Raw genomic sequence first — 20628 nt, 5'->3', positions numbered from 1 at the left:
ATTAAACTGTCCTTGCTTTCAGATGATATGATTGTCTATGTAGACGATTCCAAATAATGAAGAAAGAGCTGCTGGAATTAGTAAAAGATGATACAAAGGTTGTAGAATAAGAGGTTAATATACAAAAGTCAACCATTTTCTGTATATTAATAAAGAACAATTGGATTTGAAATTACAAACACAACACCACTTTTATAGCACCAAGAAAAACAGAGAGACAAATATATATTATATATATATTTGTCATATATATGTCATATATATATATATGACAAAGATCTTCATGACAAAAACTACAAGTTTCTAATGAAAAAATCAAAGGAGATTTAAATAAATGGAGAGATGTTCTATGTCATGGAAAAGAAGCCTCAATATTGTTAAGATGTTGGTTTGCCCCAATTTGAATTATAGATTCAAACGATCCCAATAAAACTCTTTAAAAGTTATGTAGTCAATAATGATAAATTGACCCTAAAAATTATATGGAAAGACAAATGACCCAGAATGGTTGACAGAACAATGAAGAGTAAATTTCCAGTACTCACACTACATGATTTTAAGATTCATTATAAAGTTATAGTAATTAAGACAGTGTAGTATTTGGAAAAGAATAGACAAATAGGTCAATAGAACAGAATAGAAAATTCAGAAATAAACCCACAAAATACAGTCAACTATTCTTTGACAAAGGAGTAAAGGAAATTTCATGAAAATGGTTTTTTTCAAGAAATATTGCTTGACACCTACACATCTATATGCAAAGAAATAAATGAGACAAAGACCTTGCAATTTTCACAAAGGTAGTTCAAAATGAATCAAAAACTTAAATGTGAAATGTAAAATCTGAAACTTCTAGGAGATAAGACAACAGAAACTAGGACACCTTGGGTTTGACAACAAGGTTTCAGATGCAACACCAAAAGCATGAGTCATAAATGACAAAATTGATGAATTGGACTTTAATCTTGTTTTGCAAAAGATACTGTTAAGACAATGAAAAGACAAGCTGCTGAATGAAACGAAATAATTGCAAAAGACATAGCTGATAAAGAACTGTTAGTGAAAATATATAAAGAAGTCTGAACAACCCAGATGCCAGTCACAAGCCCTGTGGGACCATCTACACTTCTGAGCTACTGCCTATAAATTGGCCCTGTTAAAAATCTAAGGAAAACTTTAAGACATACTCAGATATTTTGCTAAATTGCAGCAGGAGAAAATGTCTTATCAGCAGACCTATCTTTATGTCACTTGCTTTCAGAATAAGAGGCTATTTCAGGCACAGCAGTTTTAGTCTGTGTTAAAATCATAAGCAGCCTAAAAATACCCAAAAATGATGAAAAGAATTTGCAGATATATGGAATACATTTTATGTTTTCAAAGTCTCCTATGATGAAAAATAAATAATGTGTTGTTTGGCTTTGATTTCCTAAACTCATTCCTCAGCTATTTTCCTAAATATTCCATATCCTTCCAACATGCTTCTGCAGTTTCTTGAGGGATGTTATGCCAATGATAAACAGTACCATATGGGCACAAATATCAAAAGAATTCTGCTTCAACAGCAGAAGTATAACTCTCCAGAACCTTGAAGACCCAGGGCAGTTGCATGAGTAGTATGGTCTATGGAGGTACACAGGCTTTGGAGTTACAGTTGATTCTGTATCCCAATCCAGCTGCTTAGTAGCTGTGGGGTTTTGGAAGTTTCTTGACTAGGAACACTTATATAAACCTCATCTGCAAGAAAAGGCATAATGATACTGATTGCAAATATTCTTCATTCCTCCCTGTATACATGTCCTTTGCAAAGTGCTTTTATAGCTGCTCCCTTCAAGAGGCAAAATCTGTATTTCAAAATGTTTAGAGTCTTATTTGCTCTGGTCAACAGAAAACTGAACATATAACAGTGTGCTAGTCTGGGACCTAGGTTCAAAACTTGAGTGCTTTTGTTTTTCTTTCAGAATCCTGTTATCTCTATGATAATAAGCACACATTAACTTGCTGGGGAACGAGATACCACACGGAGAAGAACGAAGGTGCCCCAGTTGACAGGCAACTCACCCCTAGAAACAGCTGCAATCAGCATCTGCCCACACATGTCTGAAGGATCCCAGCTGAGACCAAAAGAATTGCCCAGCTGAGTTTAGCTTAAATTGCTGACCAGCCGAATCATGAGCTAGTAAGTTTCGGTGGTTTGTTATGCATCACTAACTAACTAACACACACACCCATTACAGACAGGATGTCAGAATTCAATGAGAGACTGATTACTAGTTACCTGCAAACAGTAGGCACCCTATAGGTATTGATTTTCTTTTCCCTTTATTTAAATTTGGATCTCTTGTTAGACGGTGGTGAGTTATGTAGAGATACATGTAGATGTGTACACGTGATTGGTGCATAAACTCACCCAGTCTCCCACACCATAGGAGGAAAAAGACAACCAATAGCCTGTTTATTAGCGCCAAGGCCAAATACCAATATCAGAAGTTTGTTTAATCTATTTTCTGTATATCTAAACTTTGGAAGTCAAAGCTGTGGAAGACCTGAAGACTGGGGATTAGGTCCTCCTGGGGGCTCCATTGTTCTTTTTTTGACTGTCTGATTTTTGGGAGGAAGATGGACAGCAGGCGGGGCAGCAATGGTCTACCTGTGGACACTCTCTTTTTGCAGCCCTTGCTCTCTCTAGGGCCCTGTCCCTTCAGCCTTTGGCCTGGGGAGAGACGTTGATAAGGAGGACCGATCTTTCACTGCTGGAAGGAAATGAGGGTTCAGACCGTTCACCTCCCTCAGAGCTGCACGGCAGTGTGACAGCCACTGGCCATGTGTGAGTACTGAGGGCCTGGAATGTGGCTGAACAGAGACGTGCTGGGAAGGTGAAATACAGAGTGAGTTTCACAGATTGACTACCGAAAATTATATAGTTCATTAATATATTGATGAATATTGAGATATTGATCATACATTGAAATGATAATATTTTGAATATATTGGGTTAAATAAATTATTACAATCAGTTTCACCTGTTACTTTTAATGTTTAAAAGGTGGCTACTAGGAAATTTAAAATTCACACGTGGCTTACATTTTATTTCTTAAAGGATTGCCTCCCTTTTTGAAATTTCAGGCTGCCTGATCAAACTACCAGAGGCCAGAAAGGTCATAAAATCTGAAATGTTAAAATCATTGCCATTATATTGTTTTCATTTGTGAATAACATATATATATTATTTATAAATGGATATAACCTTATACAAAAGGTTAAATGAAAATGCCCCCTGGGCTGGGCCAGGCCCAGCGCAAGCAGGAAGCCCTGCATGAAAAGGCTGCAGCCAAGAACCTGTCACTTTGTCGCCCTCAGCCCAGCGTCCGATCACATCCTCCGTCACTCAGGGACTGAGGGGGCGGGGCCTGGAGCCCTATCCAATCAGGGGCGCTGACGTAGGAACCGTCCAATCGGGCGTGCAGCCGGACAGAAGGGCGCGGCTTCCGGGATCTGGCGGGGCCTTCGTCTCTCCTGCCAGCCTCAGCTGGGTCGTCTTCTGTGCTCGGCGTGCTTTGCTCGGGGAAGCTCAGGTGGCCGCCACAGCCTCTTGCCCTCTGACCTGCAGGTATCAGGAGATCCATAGCTAAGCAGCCTGGACACCCGGGAAGCTGGGAAATGGTGAGTATGTGGGCGGGGTCCCGAGGTGGGCAGGGGGCTGATGGAAACGGGCTGGAACTGGCTGTGGCGGCCCCAGGCCTCCCCACAGCTGCCTCCGGAGTCTGCAGACCCGAGACCCCGCTGGACCCGCCCGGCCCTCAGCTTCCCCTGGCCTCAGGATGTGGGCTGGGCCGCCAGCCTCACCCGGCGTCCGGTCCGCTTCTGCGCTCGACTTCCGCCCGGCGCGTCCCCTCGCTGGCAGCTGTGCGGTGGCGACGGCAGGGGCCTGGGGGAGAGCCCCGACCCAGGAGGAGCCACTGCGTGGGAGGAGCTGTGGGCTGTGGGGTCCCAGGCCCTCCTTTCTCCTGGTAAAAATGAAAAGGGAATCAAGGTTTAAACGTTAAAGAGATTATTTGAGCAAAGAGCTGTTCATCAATGCAGAGCGCCCAGTCATGGTTTGTGGGTGCTTGGAGCAAAGGCTTTTGTAAGGGGCATAAGGAAGCGAACCAAATTCAGAACTTGGTTACAGTTACAGTTGTGGAGTCGCCTTATGTGGACTGTCCAGGTGGAAATTTCCTGGTTATTTAATGAGAGGTTAATTGGAGGTTTGTGGTTGGTTCAGGCTGAAAATCGTTTCTTCCTAAGGTAGTAATTTACAAGACATGTATTTCAGTTAGATTTTTTTCCTTAGGAACCGATGGTCCTAGTGCTACTTCAGTCTAATTGATTGCTAGTTAATTATTTTAAACACTCCAGAGGGGGACTGGTTTTCCACTGCGTTTCCAAATGTGTGGCAAGCACGGTCTCACATCCACCATCCTGTCCCCCCAGCCTGTGTGTCCTTTATTGTACATTTCACACACAGTGTTTTCATCATTTTTTCACAGAGCATTGGATGGCACTTTTTTTAGACATCTGTTTTCTGTTTGTAAACATTTTATGTGAGCAGAGAAGAATCACCTGACACACTGCTTTAAAAAAAATCTTTGTGTCTCTTCTTTTATCTTCCCCAGGCACAGACACCTTATCGGAATGTCTTTGGTTTGAGGTTCTGCTTTGGAAATTTTACAAGGTCATGTGTCCTCAGCCACCCTCCAGTCTTTTTCTGTGCCTGGGTTTCATAATTGTCTGGGGGTGACCCATCTCAAGGCATGTTTAGTGAACATTAGCACGTTGTTCCTTTCCTCCCAGAGGACAGCCTCAGTGATGGAGGTGGAGCCTCTTAAGGGAGCAGATGGATGCCCTGGGGCTGAGAGGAAGCTGGTCCTACCCTTCATTTACAAAGCTAACCCCTTAGGACATGCAGATTGTCTTCACCCAACTCCAGCGTCTGTTCCTTGGGGACACATTGCTGGTCAGCCAGTTGGATGCTGATATTGAGAAGAAAAAACAGAAATGATTTCTGACATCTGGATTCTCTCAGACTTGTGAAGGGGGAAAAACTGTTCCAAAGGACAAGGAAGACCCACTGCAGTGAGGGGGCGCGAGAATCTGCAAAGTCAAGCCACTTGGGGCACCCAGTGGGGCACAGTGTGGTGGCTCCTGGGCAAGGCGGGAAGGTGGTCAGTGAGCAGTATGGAAACAGAGGAAGGTCCCAAGTGATAGGACGGCCTGACTTGGCACTTGAGTCAGATTTGTCTGTGTTCCAATCAGCATTGCCACTTCCTGGGTTTTACACCTTGAAACATTTTTTTCACTTAATTCAACCTTAGTTTTTTATTAACTGTCAATTGCATTTTAACAGTAGAGTTTCAAAGGTAAGAAAATGTTTAAGAGGTGGATTTCAGAAAAGACATTACATATATAGTCAAATATTCACTTGTTAAAAATTCTGATTTACCTTTTTCTTCCCTAGAGTATAGTAAGTTTGTCAGGCCTGTTCCTTTTTAGGGGTGATTTTAAACAGAATCCCAGGGCGTAGCTGTGGGAATGCTACCAGGGAAAGTAATAGGGAAAATCCTCTTCCAGTATGGCTATAGGAAATGAATACATTTCCACAAAAAAAGTAGTAGATTAATTGGTGAATTACATTGCTTCATCAAAATATTAGTTCCTCTTTTTTGCAGGGTAGAGGACTTGTGGAGTTGATATCTCTATTATCTAGATGTCTGAGTTTAATACTGAATTTTACAAGATGGGACTTGGCATCTCCTAGATATGTTCATATGTGATTGTTTACTGAATGATTTGAATTACGGAAATAATGTGACATGTTTATTGTCTGAAACTGATAGAGAGTTTTGCTTTTTCTATTGAGGTATACAATGTAAGTGCCTTATAATTTTATTCTCTTAAATAAACACTGTGTTTGAGTGATTTTGCTGGATTCTTCAAACACTGAGCATTTTCTCATTTACAACTAAGTGAATAACCCTGACTGGGAAATAGAAGTCGGAGCCCAGTGACTCTAAGCCAAGGCCAATCTTGAGCCTGCAAAACAAGGTCATTGAAGACCCGGTTAGTTCTTACTGGGGAGCCTCCCCTGCAGGTGTCCCAGCCTGCACACCCCAACATGAAAGGAGCACTTTATACTGAGAGGAGCTATAGAGCCCTAGAGAGCTGGGATCCACAGGCAGATGCTGTTGGGGTCGGAGTCTGGAGGCTCTTTCTGAGGATGGAATTGTTATTGTTCTGGGGCTGTTTCTAGACTTTGTCAAATAAAACAAATTCACATTTAGATAAGAAGTTACTTACTTCAAAGGAGTATTACAACAGAGGGAAAGCACCAACTATATCTTCCAGGATCTCAAAGTTTAGGCAGACAAGGGCTTTCTTTCGTTTGGAGGAACAAACCAGAGTAGAAAGGTGAGAGTGAGAGGACAAGATGCAGGGTGGCAAATCAGATCCTAGATTAGAGAAAGTTTGACTCCCAAATCAGCCTGTTCTTAGGAGGGGCATAAATAGGAGTTGTATGTTAGCTCAAGCAAAGGGTGGGACAAATTCATGGGCCTAGGAGAAGGAGAGAATCTTAAGCAGTTTTGTTAATAAGTATTTTGTTCTAACAACTGAAGACAAAATTATTCAGCTGACTGTTTATAGGGGGAAAATGGGAATTTGAGAGTCTGTGCCTGGCTTTGTGATAGGTATAAGAAGGAGCTTCATCTAAGTTAGAGGGGTGTTGCTTTTTATTAAGCTGTTCTTGGAGAACACAGAGCTGAAGGATTTCATTAATCACAGCTATTTACCTGCTCCATCTTCCCCCACCACTTTCCATTGCCATATTCAGCTCTTCCATTTGACTGTTCCTGAGTTGTATCTTTTACAATAAACTGGTAAACATAAGTACAGTGCTTTGCTGAGTTCTGCGAATAGCTGTATCAAATTATTGAACTTGAGGAGTGGGTGATGGGAGTTTCTGATCTATAGGCAGTAGCCCAGAAGTATTGCTGGGCCCCCGGGGACGTGTGACTGGCCCCTGCCTTGGGGGCAGTGTTGTGGGACTGAGTCCTGAACCTGTGGGTCCTGTACCAACTTTTTTTTGGGTGGTGTCAGAACTGAGTTGCTCCAGCACCCTGTTGGTGTTGGAGAATTGGTTGGTGTTCAGCAAACTCCACACATTTGGTGTCAGAAAAAAAAGACATCACAGCCTGTAATCCCAGCACTGTGGGAGGCCAAGGCGGGTGGATCACGAGGTCAGGAGATTGAGACCATCCTGGCTATCACAGTGAAACCCCGTCTCTACTAAAAATACAAAAAACTAGCCGGGCGTGGTGGCGGGCGCCTGTAGTCCCAGTTACTTGGGAGGCTGAGGCAGGAGAATGGCGTGAACCTGGGAGGCAGAGCTTGCAGTGAGCCCAGATCACGCCACTGCACTCCAGCATGGGCGACAGAGCAACACTCCGTCTCGAAAAAAAAAAATAAATAAAAAAGACAAGACATCACAGTGGTCTGGGCTGGAGGCACCTCGGGGTGTCGCAGGATTGGGAGGGTCTATTCTCCTGCACACACACTGCACATTCTCCTGGGATTCCAGCTCTCTTCTCAGGATCAGACAGGACTGAGGACTTAGAAGCAAAGAGTTCTGAGGACAGACCCCGTCTTTAGTCTGCTGCCACTACGTGATTTTCACCCACTTGTAAACATACCCACTAGGCACTGACGTGGCCATGTCCCTCCCAGAACAAGGCTTCACCCTCAGGAATCCCATCACAGCACCTTTGCTTCTAGAGTTTCCCATGGAAAACCCACACAGGTGCCTGGAAGACTCCTGGCCTATCCCCACCCCCAGCAACCTGGCCCCTCCACGATATGACCGTCATCTCATCTGCCTGCATGGACACAGGAATGAGCCGGAGCATAGCCCCACTTGGGCCAGTATCTGTAGGCACAGACCACTTCTTCACTAACCCTGCACTGAGTACTTAACATGGGTACTTGACAGCACTTTTCTGTTTTTTCTTTCCCACAAACCCTCTTTGATACACAGTTTGTCCCAGGCTACCCCTCAAGTGCCTGAATCCAGACCTACTGGAATTCAGATATCCATGAGTCCAAGACGATGGCCCTTGACTTGGCTGTGGAAGGTCATTGAAGGCCCGGTTAGTTCTTCCTGGGGAGCACCCCCCTGCAGGTGTCCGTACACCCCAAGCATGAAAGAAGCTCTTTATACTGACAGCAGCTAGAAATAAGAGGCTTAATTCCTCCACCAGAAAGTAGGGGAATAAATTTTGCTCTTCTCCCCTTTCTTAAAGCTTTTAATTATTTTATTTTTTGAGACACGGTTTCATTCTTTTCACTCAGGCTGGAGTGCAGTGGCACATTCATAGCTTACTGCAGCCTCAGACTCCTGGGCTCAAGTGATCCTCCTTCCTCAACAGCGAGAACTAAAGGGACACACCACACCACATTGCAAATTTTATTTTTTATTTTGTGTAGGGGTGAGATCTCACTTATGTTGCCCTGGATGGTCTCGAACTCCTGGCTTCATGCTGTCCTCTTGCCTTGGCCTCCCAAATGCTGGGATTACAGGCATGAGCCGCTGTGCCTGGCCGACATAGACATCTTAAAGCCCCAGTTTCAGAGTGGCACCCTTTGAGTTTTCCAGGTCCAGTGACCTGTTACAGTTGTGTGAGAAGCTCCTGGTATAAAAAGACCCTGGTGGCTGAGGCGGGCGGATCACCTGAGGTTGGGAGTTCAAGACCAGCCTGACCAACATGCAGAAACCCTGTCTCTACTAAAAATACAAAATTAGCCGGGGTGGTGGCGCATGCCTGTAATCCCAGCTACTCGGGAGGCTGAGGCAGGAGAATCGCTTGAACCTGGGAGGCAGAGGTTGTGGTGAGCCCAGATCACACCATTTCACTCCAGCCTGGGCAACAAGAGTGAAACTGTCTCAAAAAAAAAAAAAAAAAAAACAGCCTGGTGACAGAGTCTGTAAATGTAAACAAGAACCTCAGCAGGGTGAGGTTAGGGCCACAAAATAGGCAGAGCTGTGGTCACGGTCACACCCACCTGTAAAGTGTGATATGGAAGCACTGTTGTCCTTTCTCTTACTCAAGATTTAGCTAATTAGGGACAGGTGATATCTCCTCTGGATTAAGAATCTGCCACTCCACCGTGGCAGTTTTGTTTTTTGGGGTTTTTTTGTTTTGTTTTTTTTTTTGAGACGGAGTCTCACTCTGTCACCCAGGCTGGAGTGCAGTGGGGTGATCTCAGCTCACTGCAACCTCCGCCTCCTGAGTTAAAGCAATTCTCCTGCCTCAGCCTCCTGAGTAACTGGGATTAGAGGTGCCTACCAACAGGCCCAGCTAATTTTTTTGTATTTTAGTAGAGACAGGGTTTCACCATGTTGGCCAGGCTGGTCTCGAACCCCTGACCTCAGGTGATCCGCCCGCCTCAGCCTCCCAAAGTGCTGGGATTACAGGTGTGAGCCACCGCGCCGGCCTGTTTTCTATTTTTGTCCCACAGAATCAGCCGGAATCTCTCTTGCCTAGATCACCATGGGGACATAAGCCCAGGGTCACTGAGGACCCTGTCGCAGGTACCTGGGAGTCTTTAAACATTAGTGCAGACTCAGGTCAGGCTGACAGGAAGGTCTAAATCTGCTTCCAGTCTATGGCCATACCACTCCGAACATGCGCTATCTCATCTCATCTCGGAAGCTAAGCAGGGTCAGTCCTGGGAATACTGGATGCTGTAGGCTTTTTTCCTTTAAAAATAAACAAATAAACAAAGCTGCTTCCATCTCAGAGGAAGAGAAATGAGTCATGCATGTTTCTTCTTTCCCCCTCACAAAAGGAATCTCTTTGATTGATATCCAGATGGGACTGGCTCCCGTTTCCTGGTATTGGGTAAAAAACAAGGAGGAGATCTCGAGACTCAAACTGATAAACCAGTTGCTTCCATTTCATATGGCCATTACAAAAACAGATGGCACAGTCTTGGGTCCTTACCAACCAGGAACTTTCAGTCTAGAGCCAGTGGATAAACGGTTGAATTCGGCATCCTGTGGTCAGCACAAAGAAGGGAGGTATACAGAGGATTGTGGCTTCATTGGGGCCACTTCTCTTTTCTTGTTCTTTTGTGAGTTCTGGTGTTGCCACCTGAAGGGCTATTTATGGACAAAAGAGTTGTTATTATCTTTATTTCTAGTGCATTTTCCTTGCCAAGAATAAATATTTAGTTTCTAATATATTTGTCCTAGAAAGCTCTAAGGGTGTTGGTTAAATTGCCCGTGACTGGATCTTATAAAATAGACGAGGAAGTAGCTAAAATTGGTTAAAATTACACAAACTCTGGGAGTCAAGCGTCTGTTGGGCAGGCCTAGGACAAAGAGAACCGGTAGTACCCAGAGGCCTAAAGGTGAGAAGCTGAGGGTCTGCTTCGTGGCCCAGCTCTGCCAGATCAGCCTGCTTCCCAGGCCTTATCCCACCCTGAAATCTCCGTCGCAGAATTCATTAGAGGACATCAGAGTTGTTGCGTGGTGGTTCCTGTGATCTCTCCAGAGCAGGTGCTGACAATTTTCCCAAACCCAAAAGCAGGTAAATGAGAACAAAGCACTGTGTAATTGTGGCCCTTTGTTTTTCATTGAAACCAGTGCTGCCAGAGACATCCCACCCAGCAGCCTGCTGTTCATCCTGCAGACCCAGGTGTTCTTCATTCCTGCAGATGCAGTAGTTCCTCCATGAGTTACCAGAAAGTAAATACAAACACGACAACAACGAAAAATCCCTCTCAACTACATTTAACCCCTTCTTTCTGTATCTCTCCCATCTGTCTGTATTTAGCTTTCATTCTATATATTTTCTTTCTAAAACTCAGTGATGGAGAAACAGAAAAAGAAAAGCTGGGCCCTTCATGTAAACCCTGGGGATTATGGAACACTTAGTACCCACCTCCCGGAGTGTTAGAATTACCTCACCTATTACTAGGTTTTCAGCGCTGTCCTCTGTAACACACTTCTGAGCACGTAGTATGTGTTCCGTAAACATTCATTAATGCCCGTGTCCACGTTCTCCCAGTGCAGACTTACTCAGACATTGCTGCCTTCTCTAGACTTTAGTAAACTTTAAACGCTCAGCAGAGAATGCCATTTTTCAGGATGGCGATTGGTGGTCTTCACTTGCAATCAGAAGCATTGCTGGGTTTTTTTTGTTTGTTTGTGTTTTGAGACCAAGTTCCCTCTTGCTGCCCCGGCTAGAGTGCAATGGTGCGATCTCAGCTCACTGCAACCTCTGCCTCCCAGGTTCAAGCGATTCGCCTGCCTCTGCCTTCCCCAGTAGCTGGAATTACAGGCATGCGCCACCACACCCGGCTAATTTTGTATTTTTAGTAGAGACACGGTTTCTCCATGTTGGTCAGGCTGGTCTTGAACTCCTGACCTCAGGTGATCCACCCGCCTCGGCCTCCCAAAGTGCTGGGATTACAGGCGTGAGCCACTGCGCCCGGCCAAAGCATTTCTGTTGTGATACCGGTGTTGAGTACAAGGGACTCTGTGCTGTATTTGCCTTCTCTAGCTGAGTGCTGCTGATGAGGAGTCCGGGGGAACAGTATCAGAAGACTTGTTATAGAAGCCCATTTGCAGACCCCTTTCACACCTGCGGAAACACATTACTTAGAATGGGGCCTGGAATACCAAATTAGAATACCAAATTATTTATATGTACATTGAAGCCAGAGAGACAGTACTCAGGTATGTGGTTCTCAGCCCAGGCTTTCAATTAGAAACAAATAGCCAGTTTGGAGAACTACCATCACACATGCTGTCTCCAAAGATCCTGTCTGTGGTCTGGATGGAAGCATAATTGTTGTTTTAAGTAAGTGCCCCCCAGCGATTCTAAGGTGAGATCAGAGTCAACCTTGAGGGCTCCCAGATACAGTCACGAGACTTGGGTTCCAAAAGGAGGTCAGAGGGCCTGCTCTTCGGTTTGATAAGGGTAGGTCACCAAGATCCATATTTCCTTTGCTGTACCAGAAATTGCTGGAGTTCATGGCAGGGGAGATCACCTGAAGGCAGGAAATTTTTGGTCTTTATGTGGTAGCTCATTTTTCCTCTCCTGTGATAAAGAATAGGGGAGTATTCCCTTTTCTGCACTGCAGGGCCTTCTGCCTCTAGGTGTGCTGGTTGCAGGTGAAAGGGTTGTGTTGACACCTTTAAAGACATATTCTCAAATGCAGGTGTGATTTGTCCAGATAATCTCACCTGAGAAGGAATCCCAGAGAAGAAGGAAGAAGAGGAAGAAATGGCTGGTTCTCAGGTGAATGTGTCTGGGTTCAGGGGATGTGTCTCCTCTTTTCTTCTGGGATGTTATGTGTTTAGAACTTGCAAACCTTTATTTCTGTACTTCTGATGTACCTGCCTAATGTGTTTCTTCCCAACTACCTTCCCCCCTTCCCCCCTCCTTTCTTATGATTGATAAGGAACTCTGTAAAATCCTTCCTCCTGTGTACCAGAACCTTCTCTCCATTCCCTCCTTCCAGGCTTCTTATATGTCATGACCAAATCTTACCATTAATGTATGATGGGCAGTATTCAGATGTTCTGTGACATATCAACATGGGAAAGTGTGGATCCCCAGGATTATCCGTGGGGATGGGGCTGGGTCTTGGGATGTCAGTGAAGAAGGGGATCATGTACCGTTTAGATTTCATCCACATGCTCCATCATCTCTATGCAGAACAGAATTAAGAAAAGAGACATTTAAAGAGGATGGCATTCATTGCCTGGAATAACTTAAAGTTCTGAAAAGAGAATAATTAGAAGACATTTGCTGTCTAGGATGCTAAAGAAACACTATTGAAATACCCTATTGCAGATTAAAGAACCAGGGAAACAGCTATAGCTTGAACTTTGCATAAAACTGATGTTTCTGGCCAGGCACTGTGGCTCACACCTGTAATCCCAGCACTTTGGGAGGCTGAGGCGGGCAGATCACTTGAGGTCAGGAGTTCAAGACCAGCCTGGCTAACATGATGAAACCCCATCTCTACTAAAAATACAAAAATTAACTGGGCATGGTGGTGCACGCCTGTAATCCCAGCTATTTGGGAGGCTGAGGTGGGAGAATCACTGGAACCTGGGAAGCAGAGGCTGCAGTGAGCCAAGATTGCACCATTGCACTCCAGCCTGAGCGACAGAGCAAGACTGTCTCCAAAAAACAAAACAAAAAAAGGATGTTTCTACATGATTAGGTTCAGATTGTAATTTACTATTTTTGTGGTCAATAATATTAGAGCAGTGATACTTTGTCCTTGATGTCATGTGATCCTTGATGTCATTTTATCCTTGACATCTTTGATGTTGATTTATCCTATTATAGTTGATCTTAATTTTATTTACTTGGTTAAGGTGCTCTCTGCCAGATTTTTGCACGATAGAGATATTTTTTTCATTATTGTTTAGTACCTTGGGGAGATTTACTGACTGATACATATAAGCCATCACATTTAATTAGGAAGCTCTTCTTTCTTTTTAGATTCTCCTCGCTTATAGCTTGCTTTGGAAAATGAAGGCTCTCGTGTTTGTTTATTGGTTAGATAAACTGAAATAAACACAGGCTCTGCCACTTCCTGCATGTTTGAAAAAATATTTTCCTTGGCCCAGACACAGTGGCATCACTGTATGGCTCACTTAGAAATTCAGAGACTCAGGCTTCACCCTAGGTCCTCTGAATCACAACCTGCATTTTAAGAGGATCTCTAGTTTATTGTGTACGCATTAAAATTTCAGGGGTACCTTCTGATGAATCATGACCTCTACATATGAGAAATATTTACAGTTTATCCTGTGTGAGGTAAATAGAGCAGGAAAAAATGTATATGCCTGCGTTGATGCCCTTAATTTTATACTGTATTATTCACAAGAGTAGAATATGTACACTGGTTATGTGGAGCTTATGCCATCCTCTTTCTTCAGGATTAAAGAATATGTTAGAGAATATTTCTGTGTTTACAATTATTTGATCATTTCAGTCTCTTCTATAAGTAAGAACCAGTTCTCTCTGTCTCTCTTTGTGCCTGGAATCAGATTAAGAACTCTGCCCATGACCACTTGATACGTATGTGTTTTTTCTTTGCCAGGGACTGTTGATATTCAGGGATGTGGCCATAGAATTCTCTCCGGAGGAGTGGAGCTATCTGGACCCTGCTCAGCAGAATCTGTATAGGGACGTGATGTTAGAAAACTACAGAAACCTGGTCTCCCTGGGTGAGGATCGCTTCAATGCATAATTTCTATTTTACACTAAGGATTTTATTTCCTTCATTGTAGAATATTTTTTGGAATTCTGCTTTGCACGAATGAATTTCAGATTTCTGCTTTCAAGGAAAACTTGGGGATTTGTTGGTGTAGAACAAAATAATCTTGAAGGTATTTTATCTTGACACTAACCTTCCTTTCTTGAGGTGATGTGCGTGCTCAGATGAGTGGTGGCAATTCCAGAAATTTAGTAGCATAAAATAGTGTTGCACACACCCTGAAAAATCCAGTTACCACCACCGATTCTTGATTCAGTGGTATTAGGTAGTGAAGCTAGGGACTCACAAATTTAAAATACTTCCCAAATATTCTAAAGGTTCTGTCATTCTTGATTCAGTAGTATTAGGTAGTGAAGCTAGGGCCTCACAAATTTAAAATACTTTCCAAATATTCTAAAGGTTCTGTCAGGAAACAGTATTTTGGGATTAATTTTTAGAATCTTCTATTTCCTTATTTCTCTACTGAGCACAGTACTAGGTTGGTAATTAGAGAATCCAAGCAAGAGTCATGCTACTTCTTAAAAAATAAAACAGGTCCTTTGAATTTTTTTTTAAAAATAGGTATTGCTGTCTCTAAGCCAGACCTGATCACCTGTCTAGAGCAAAGGAATGAGCCCTGGAATGTGAAGAAACATGAGACAGTAGCCAGACACCCAGGTAGGTGGGAGTAAATGAAGTGGATGATACAGATGAGAGGTTCAAAGATCAAGGCGGAAGCCAGACCTTAAAATGTGGTTTGAGAAGCTCTGCTCCAATGGAAATGGTTTCTGAGAAGCCTGAGTTTCTTTCCCTTGCTGTCACATAGGAACACCTTCTGTCCCATGCTCTGAAATTCTTTTACGGCTCTACTTTCCCTTCAGTGATCTTTCTTCAAGATGACAGTGACAGCCAAAGGCTTTTTCATAGCTTGGAACAGACCGTATGATCTGATTGTTCTTCCATTGCTTTGGGGACACAGGAATATCTGTGTATTTTTGAGAAACTGTTTGTTAAGCTATTTTTTAAGTTCCCTTTTTGCATTATGTCTAAGGCGTGTGAGAGCAGTGGGATTTGGCTCAGAATCCCAGGAACACCAGAACAGATGTTACATGTTTTCTGCTTTGTGATTTCCCATTCTATAGAGGTTTTAAATGTCATTCTATAGAAATTTATACTCAGTAATTTTATAAGAACACTAGACATCTCCCTAAATGTAAGAAACTGTTATTTTTTATTAAACATTTATTGTTTTAGTATAAACAGAGACTGGTAATTTAAACTCTGCCCCAAATTCTCAACTGTAGTGTGGTTTAGTGTATCTGTTCACTTCTGTATTAGTCAGTTTTCACACTGCTAACAAAGACGTACCTGAGACTGGGAAGAAAAAGAGGTTTAACTGGACTTAACTATTTCCACATGGCTGGGGAGGCCTCAGCAGCAAGAGAAAATGAGGAAGAAGCAACAGCAGAAACCCTTGAGAAAGCCATCAGATCCCATGAGACTTATTTACTATCATGAGAATAGCACGGGAAAGACTGGCCCCCATGATTCAATTACCTCCCTCTGGGTCCCTCCCACAGCACGTGGGAATTCTGGGAGATGCAATTTAAGTTGAGATTTGGGTGGGGGCACAGCCAAACCGTATCAGCTTCCTAGATTTCTTAAATATGCTGTGTATTTGGGTAGCTTAGAGCAGTGCTCAGCATATGTTTAACTTCCACTTGCTACCTTAGTTTATAATAACTGTAATTTTATAATTTTGTTTGGAATGACCGGAACTGTTATTCATATATATGTTGGTGTGTATACATTTGTGTATATATGTACATGTGTGTAACATGGATTTTTTCACAAATAAAAAGTGTGTAAGTATTGTGTACAATGTGATGATTTGATACAACTATCTTAGCAAATTTTAAGCATACAGAATGCTATTATGAACTACAGTCACAATGCTATACACAAGATCCCCAAAATGTATTTATCTTATAATGGAAAGTTGTACTCTTTGAACAACAGCTCCCAATTTTCCCTAACTCCAGCCTCTGGCAATCATCTTTGTACTCTCTGCTTCTTTGAGTTCAACCCTTTTTGATTCCCCTTATAAGAGAGATTATGCAGTATTTTTCTTTCTGTGCCTGGCTTATTTCACTTGGCGTAATTTCCTCCATGTTCATCCATGTTGTTGAAATGGCAAGATTTTATTATTTTTAATGGCTGAATAACATTCTAGAGTGTGTGTGTGTACTTTTATTTTTAGTGTCTGCAAACATTTAGGTTGTTTTCATATCTTGGCAATTGTGAAAAATGCTGCAATGAACATGAGCGTACAGTTTTTTTTCTTTTGAGATAATTATTTTATTTCCTTTGGTTATTTACACAGAAGTGGGATTGATGAATTATATGGTAGTTTTACTTTTTCATTTTTCAATTAAGAACCTCCATACTGGTTTTGCTAATGGCTCTATCAGTTTACAACACAGCAACAACATATGGAATTTAGTTTTCTTCACACCTGTGTCAATACTTGTACTGGCTTATTTCAGTTAACATAATATTCTCAAGCTTTATCCTTATCATACAATGTGACAATATCTCCTTTAAGGCTGATAATATCAATCTTATGTATATGCCACATTATCTCTTTTGTAGATTTTTTTATTTGTATGAATTTAGGGTATAAATTAATTTTCTTAAGTGGAGAGATTATGCAGTAGTGAAGTCAGGGCTTTTGTCCATCCCTTGAATAATACACATCTCTCTTCTTTTTGATATTTGCCATCCAAACAGGTGTGAGGTGATGTCTCATCGTGGTTTCGAGTTGCAGTTGTTTGATGACCGGTGATGTTGAGCACCTTTAAGGATACATTTTTAGTAACGTTACACGTATTCACATTGTTATGCAAAAGACCGCTAGAAATGTTACATCTTGCAAAATCAAAACTCAGTACTCCTTAAGTAAGAACTGCCCATTTTATTCTCTCTCCGGCCCTTGGCAAACACCCTTCAGCTTTCTATATGATGTTGGCTACTTAAGATATTATATAGAAGTAGAATCATACACTGTCACTGGTACTGGCTTATTTCGGTTAACATAATATTCTCAAGCTTTATCCTTATCATACAATGTAACAATATTTCCTTCTTTAAGGCTAAATAATATCAATTTTATGCATATGCCACATTTATTTTTATCTATTGATCATTTGGGACATCAGGGTTGATTCTGCATTTTGGCTTTTGTGAATAATGCTGCAATATATCTTCTAGGTTCTGAGTTTGAATATATACTCAGAAATGGGATTGCTGGATTATATGATAATTCCATTTTTAGTTTTTTGAGGAATCTCTATACTGTTTTTTAATAGTGGCTGTGTCATATTTTTTCATCAATAGCGCACACAGGTTTCCATTTCGCCACATCCTTGACAGATTAGTTTCTGTTGGTCTTTTTTTTCAGACAGGTTCTTGCTCTGTCACCCATGTAGGAATGCAGTGGTGCAATCTTGGCTCACTGCAACCTCCGCTTCCAGGGTTCAAGTGATTCTTGTGCCTCAGCCTCCCGAGTAGCTGGGATTGCAGGCATGCACCACCATGCCTGGTTAATTTTTATATTTTTTGGCAGAGATGGGGTTTCACCATGTTGGCCAGACTAGTCTCGAACTCCTGGCCTCATGTGATTCACCCGCCTCAGCCTCCCAAAGTGCTGGGATTGCAGGCATGAGCCACTGTGCCCAGCCTCTGTTCATTTTTAATAGTGGCCATTTTGATGGATGTGAGGTGATAGCTCATTGTGATTTTGCTTTGCAGTTCTCTACAAATTAGTAATTTTCAGCTTTCTTTCAAGTGCCTGTTGGCCATTTGAGTATTATCTTTTAAAGAAAAGTCAGTTCAATCCTTTGTCTGTTTTTAAATCAAATTATTATTTTTGGGGGGCTGAGTTTTAGGAGAGATACATTCTGTACGTTAACTCCTATCAAATATCTAATAGGTCAATATTTTCACCCATTTCTAAGGTGACATTTTCATTCCACTAATTGGTTCCTTTAATGTTCAGAAATTCTGAAGTTTGATGTAGTTCAGTTTTTTTGTTCTTTGTTGCTTATGCATTTGACATCATATCCAAGAAAACGGTGCAAAGACCAATGTCATGATCTTCTCTATATTTTCTCCTGAGAGTTTTGTTATATTTTTATGTTTAAGCATTGAATCCTTTTAAAATATTGTTTGCATATAATGCAAAGGAAGGGTCCAACTTAATTTTTTTCATGTAGGTACTCCGTTTTCAACATGGTTTGTCGAAGAGTCTCTCCCTGTTGTGTGGCCATGGCAACCTTGTGGAAGATCATTTGATTGTATCCAAAAGGGTTTATATCTAGGTTCTCTCTTGTTTCATTATCTCTTTATTCATATTTGTCTTTTTATAGCTTTGTGTAATATGTTTGAAACCAGGAAGTGTAAAGCCTCTTCTTATTCTTTTTATTTTATAGTTGTTGTTGTTGTTGTTTTGTTTGTTTGTTTGTTTTAATAATAGAGGCAGGGTCCAATCTGGCTTCAAACTCCTGGCCTCAATGATCCTGTCATGTTTACCTCCCAAAGTGCTAGAATTACAAGCATAAGCCACCACACCCATCCTTTTCTTCTTTTGAAATGGTATTTGGCTAGTCATAGTTTCTAAACAAATTTTAGGATTTGGAAAATATTTCTGCAAAAAAAGTACCATTGGGATTTAGATAGAGATTACGTTGAATTTGTACATCACTGTTGGTACTGATACCTTTTTTTTTTTTTTTTTTTTTGAGACAGAGTCTTGCTCTGTCACCCAGGCTGGAGTGCAGTGGTGCGATCTTGGCTCACTGCAAGCTCTGCCTCCTGGGTTCATGCCATTCTCCTGCCTCAGTCTCCCGAGTAGCTGGGACTACAGGCACCCGCCACCACGCCTGGCTAATTTTTTTGTATTTTTAGTAGAGACGGGGGTTTCACCGTGTTAGCCAGGATGGTCTCAATCTCCTGACCTCGTGATCCACCCGCCTCAGCCTCCCAAAGTGCTGGGATTACAGGCATGAGCCATCGCACCCGGCCAGTACTGCTATCTTAACAAAAAAATCATCTGACCCTTGAGCAAGAATGTGTTCAACAGTGTGTTTAATTTCTACATATTTTGGATTTGGTTAGAAAAAAATACATTGTTTGATTTCAGTCTTCTTAAATTTGGTCAGTTGTTATGTGTCCTAACAGAATGAATATGCAATTGAGAATATTGCGTATTCTGCTGTTTTTCCTGGAGAATTCTGTACATGTCTGTTGGGTCTAATTAGTTTATAATCCTTAAATTTTCTGTTTTCTTACTGATCTTCTATGTGATTTTTCTATTCATTATTGAAAGTGGAATCTTGAAGTTTACAATTGTATTGCTGTGTATATCTCAGCTCATTTCTGTCCATATTCGCTTCATATATGTGGCAGCAAATATTGCTTCATATATATATATATAGATATAGATATAGATATATATACACACACACACACACACACACATATACTATATATACATATATATGTATGCTTGTGTGTGGAGTGTGTGTATATAAAACTGTTAAAGATTTTTGGTAAATAGGCCTATTTTACCATTATATCAATCTTTGTCTTGTGTGACAGTTTTTAATTTAAAATGTATCTTGTGTAATATAATTGTGGCCACACCACCCAATTGTGGTTACTATTTTCATGGGACATATTTTTTTCATTCTTTACTTTCAGCCTGTTTGACTCCTTTAGAGCTACAGTTGAGTCTGTTGTATACAGCATATTTTAGAATCTTGTTTGTTCTTAATCTATTCAGCCATTTTCTTTTCATTAAGGAATTTAATCCATTTATATTTAAAATAATTCCTAAAGGAAATGGCAGTACTATTACCATCTTGTTTGTAATTGTTTTCTGTTCCTTGTAGATATGTTGTCCCTCATTTCCTTTCTCACCTCTCTCACTGCCTGTCTTTTTGTTTTGTTGACTGTGCAGTGACATGCTCTGATTCTTTTCTCATTTTCTTTTGCATTACTTCTATAAGTACTTTCTTTGTGATCACCTTGAGAAATGGACAGTTCATAAAACTTCTTAAAGTTCTAATAATCTATCTCATAACTTCCCTACAATTGAGTATAAGAACTATTTATCTTTATATCCCCCCATTTGATATTAATGTCAAAAATTATATCATTTTATATTGTGCATTTATTAATAGATTTACAGAGATTTACGTTGTTTTTCACATTCTGCAGAGTTTTTGGTTTTATGTAACATTGGACAAGTCT

The 20628-nt window shown here is 41.6% G+C and overlaps 1 non-coding gene and 1 pseudogene across 1 annotated transcript, besides 5 other annotated features; both read left to right on the top strand.

Moving 5' to 3' along the window:
- Window positions 3296–3555: a silencer, noted in NCBI's record as "fragment chr1:247374101-247374360 (GRCh37/hg19 assembly coordinates)". NCBI's record gives its function as "represses an EF-1alpha promoter that drives an FKBP-Casp9 reporter gene in an ReSE screen in phorbol 12-myristate 13-acetate-treated (for megakaryocytic differentiation) K562 erythroleukemia cells {active_cell/tissue: K562(+PMA)}" and the evidence as "EXISTENCE:reporter gene assay evidence [ECO:0000049][PMID:32094911]".
- Window positions 3296–3905: a biological region, named in NCBI's record as "H3K27ac hESC enhancer GRCh37_chr1:247373767-247374266".
- Window positions 3390–3889: an enhancer, noted in NCBI's record as "H3K27ac hESC enhancer chr1:247373767-247374266 (GRCh37/hg19 assembly coordinates)". NCBI's record gives its function as "activates a minimal SCP1, AML or CMV promoter by ChIP-STARR-seq in primed H9 embryonic stem cells {active_cell/tissue: H9 hESC(primed)}" and the evidence as "EXISTENCE:reporter gene assay evidence [ECO:0000049][PMID:30033119]".
- Window positions 3696–3905: a silencer, noted in NCBI's record as "silent region_2043". NCBI's record gives its function as "represses an Ori minimal core promoter by ATAC-STARR-seq in GM12878 lymphoblastoid cells {active_cell/tissue: GM12878}" and the evidence as "EXISTENCE:reporter gene assay evidence [ECO:0000049][PMID:35858748]".
- Window positions 9286–10485: an enhancer, noted in NCBI's record as "BRD4-independent group 4 enhancer chr1:247367171-247368370 (GRCh37/hg19 assembly coordinates)". NCBI's record gives its function as "activates an origin of replication core promoter dependent on BRD2, P300/CBP, MED14 and CDK7 cofactors, and independent of BRD4, by STARR-seq in HCT116 cells {active_cell/tissue: HCT116}" and the evidence as "EXISTENCE:reporter gene assay evidence [ECO:0000049][PMID:35650434]".
- RNA5SP82 (RNA, 5S ribosomal pseudogene 82) lies at window positions 9693–9784 on the top strand (annotated as a pseudogene).
- On the top strand, window positions 12294–12387 carry MIR3916 (microRNA 3916). The gene has a single exon (NR_037480.1). It is a non-coding gene; the product is annotated as a microRNA 3916 (primary transcript).
- The last annotated feature ends 8241 nt before the right edge of the window (window positions 12388–20628 follow it).

Source organism: Homo sapiens, chromosome 1 (genome assembly GCF_000001405.40).
Source record: "Homo sapiens chromosome 1, GRCh38.p14 Primary Assembly".
In the NCBI taxonomy this organism is placed as follows: Eukaryota; Metazoa; Chordata; class Mammalia; order Primates; family Hominidae; genus Homo; species Homo sapiens.
This window is presented reverse-complemented; position numbering and strand designations above follow the sequence as displayed.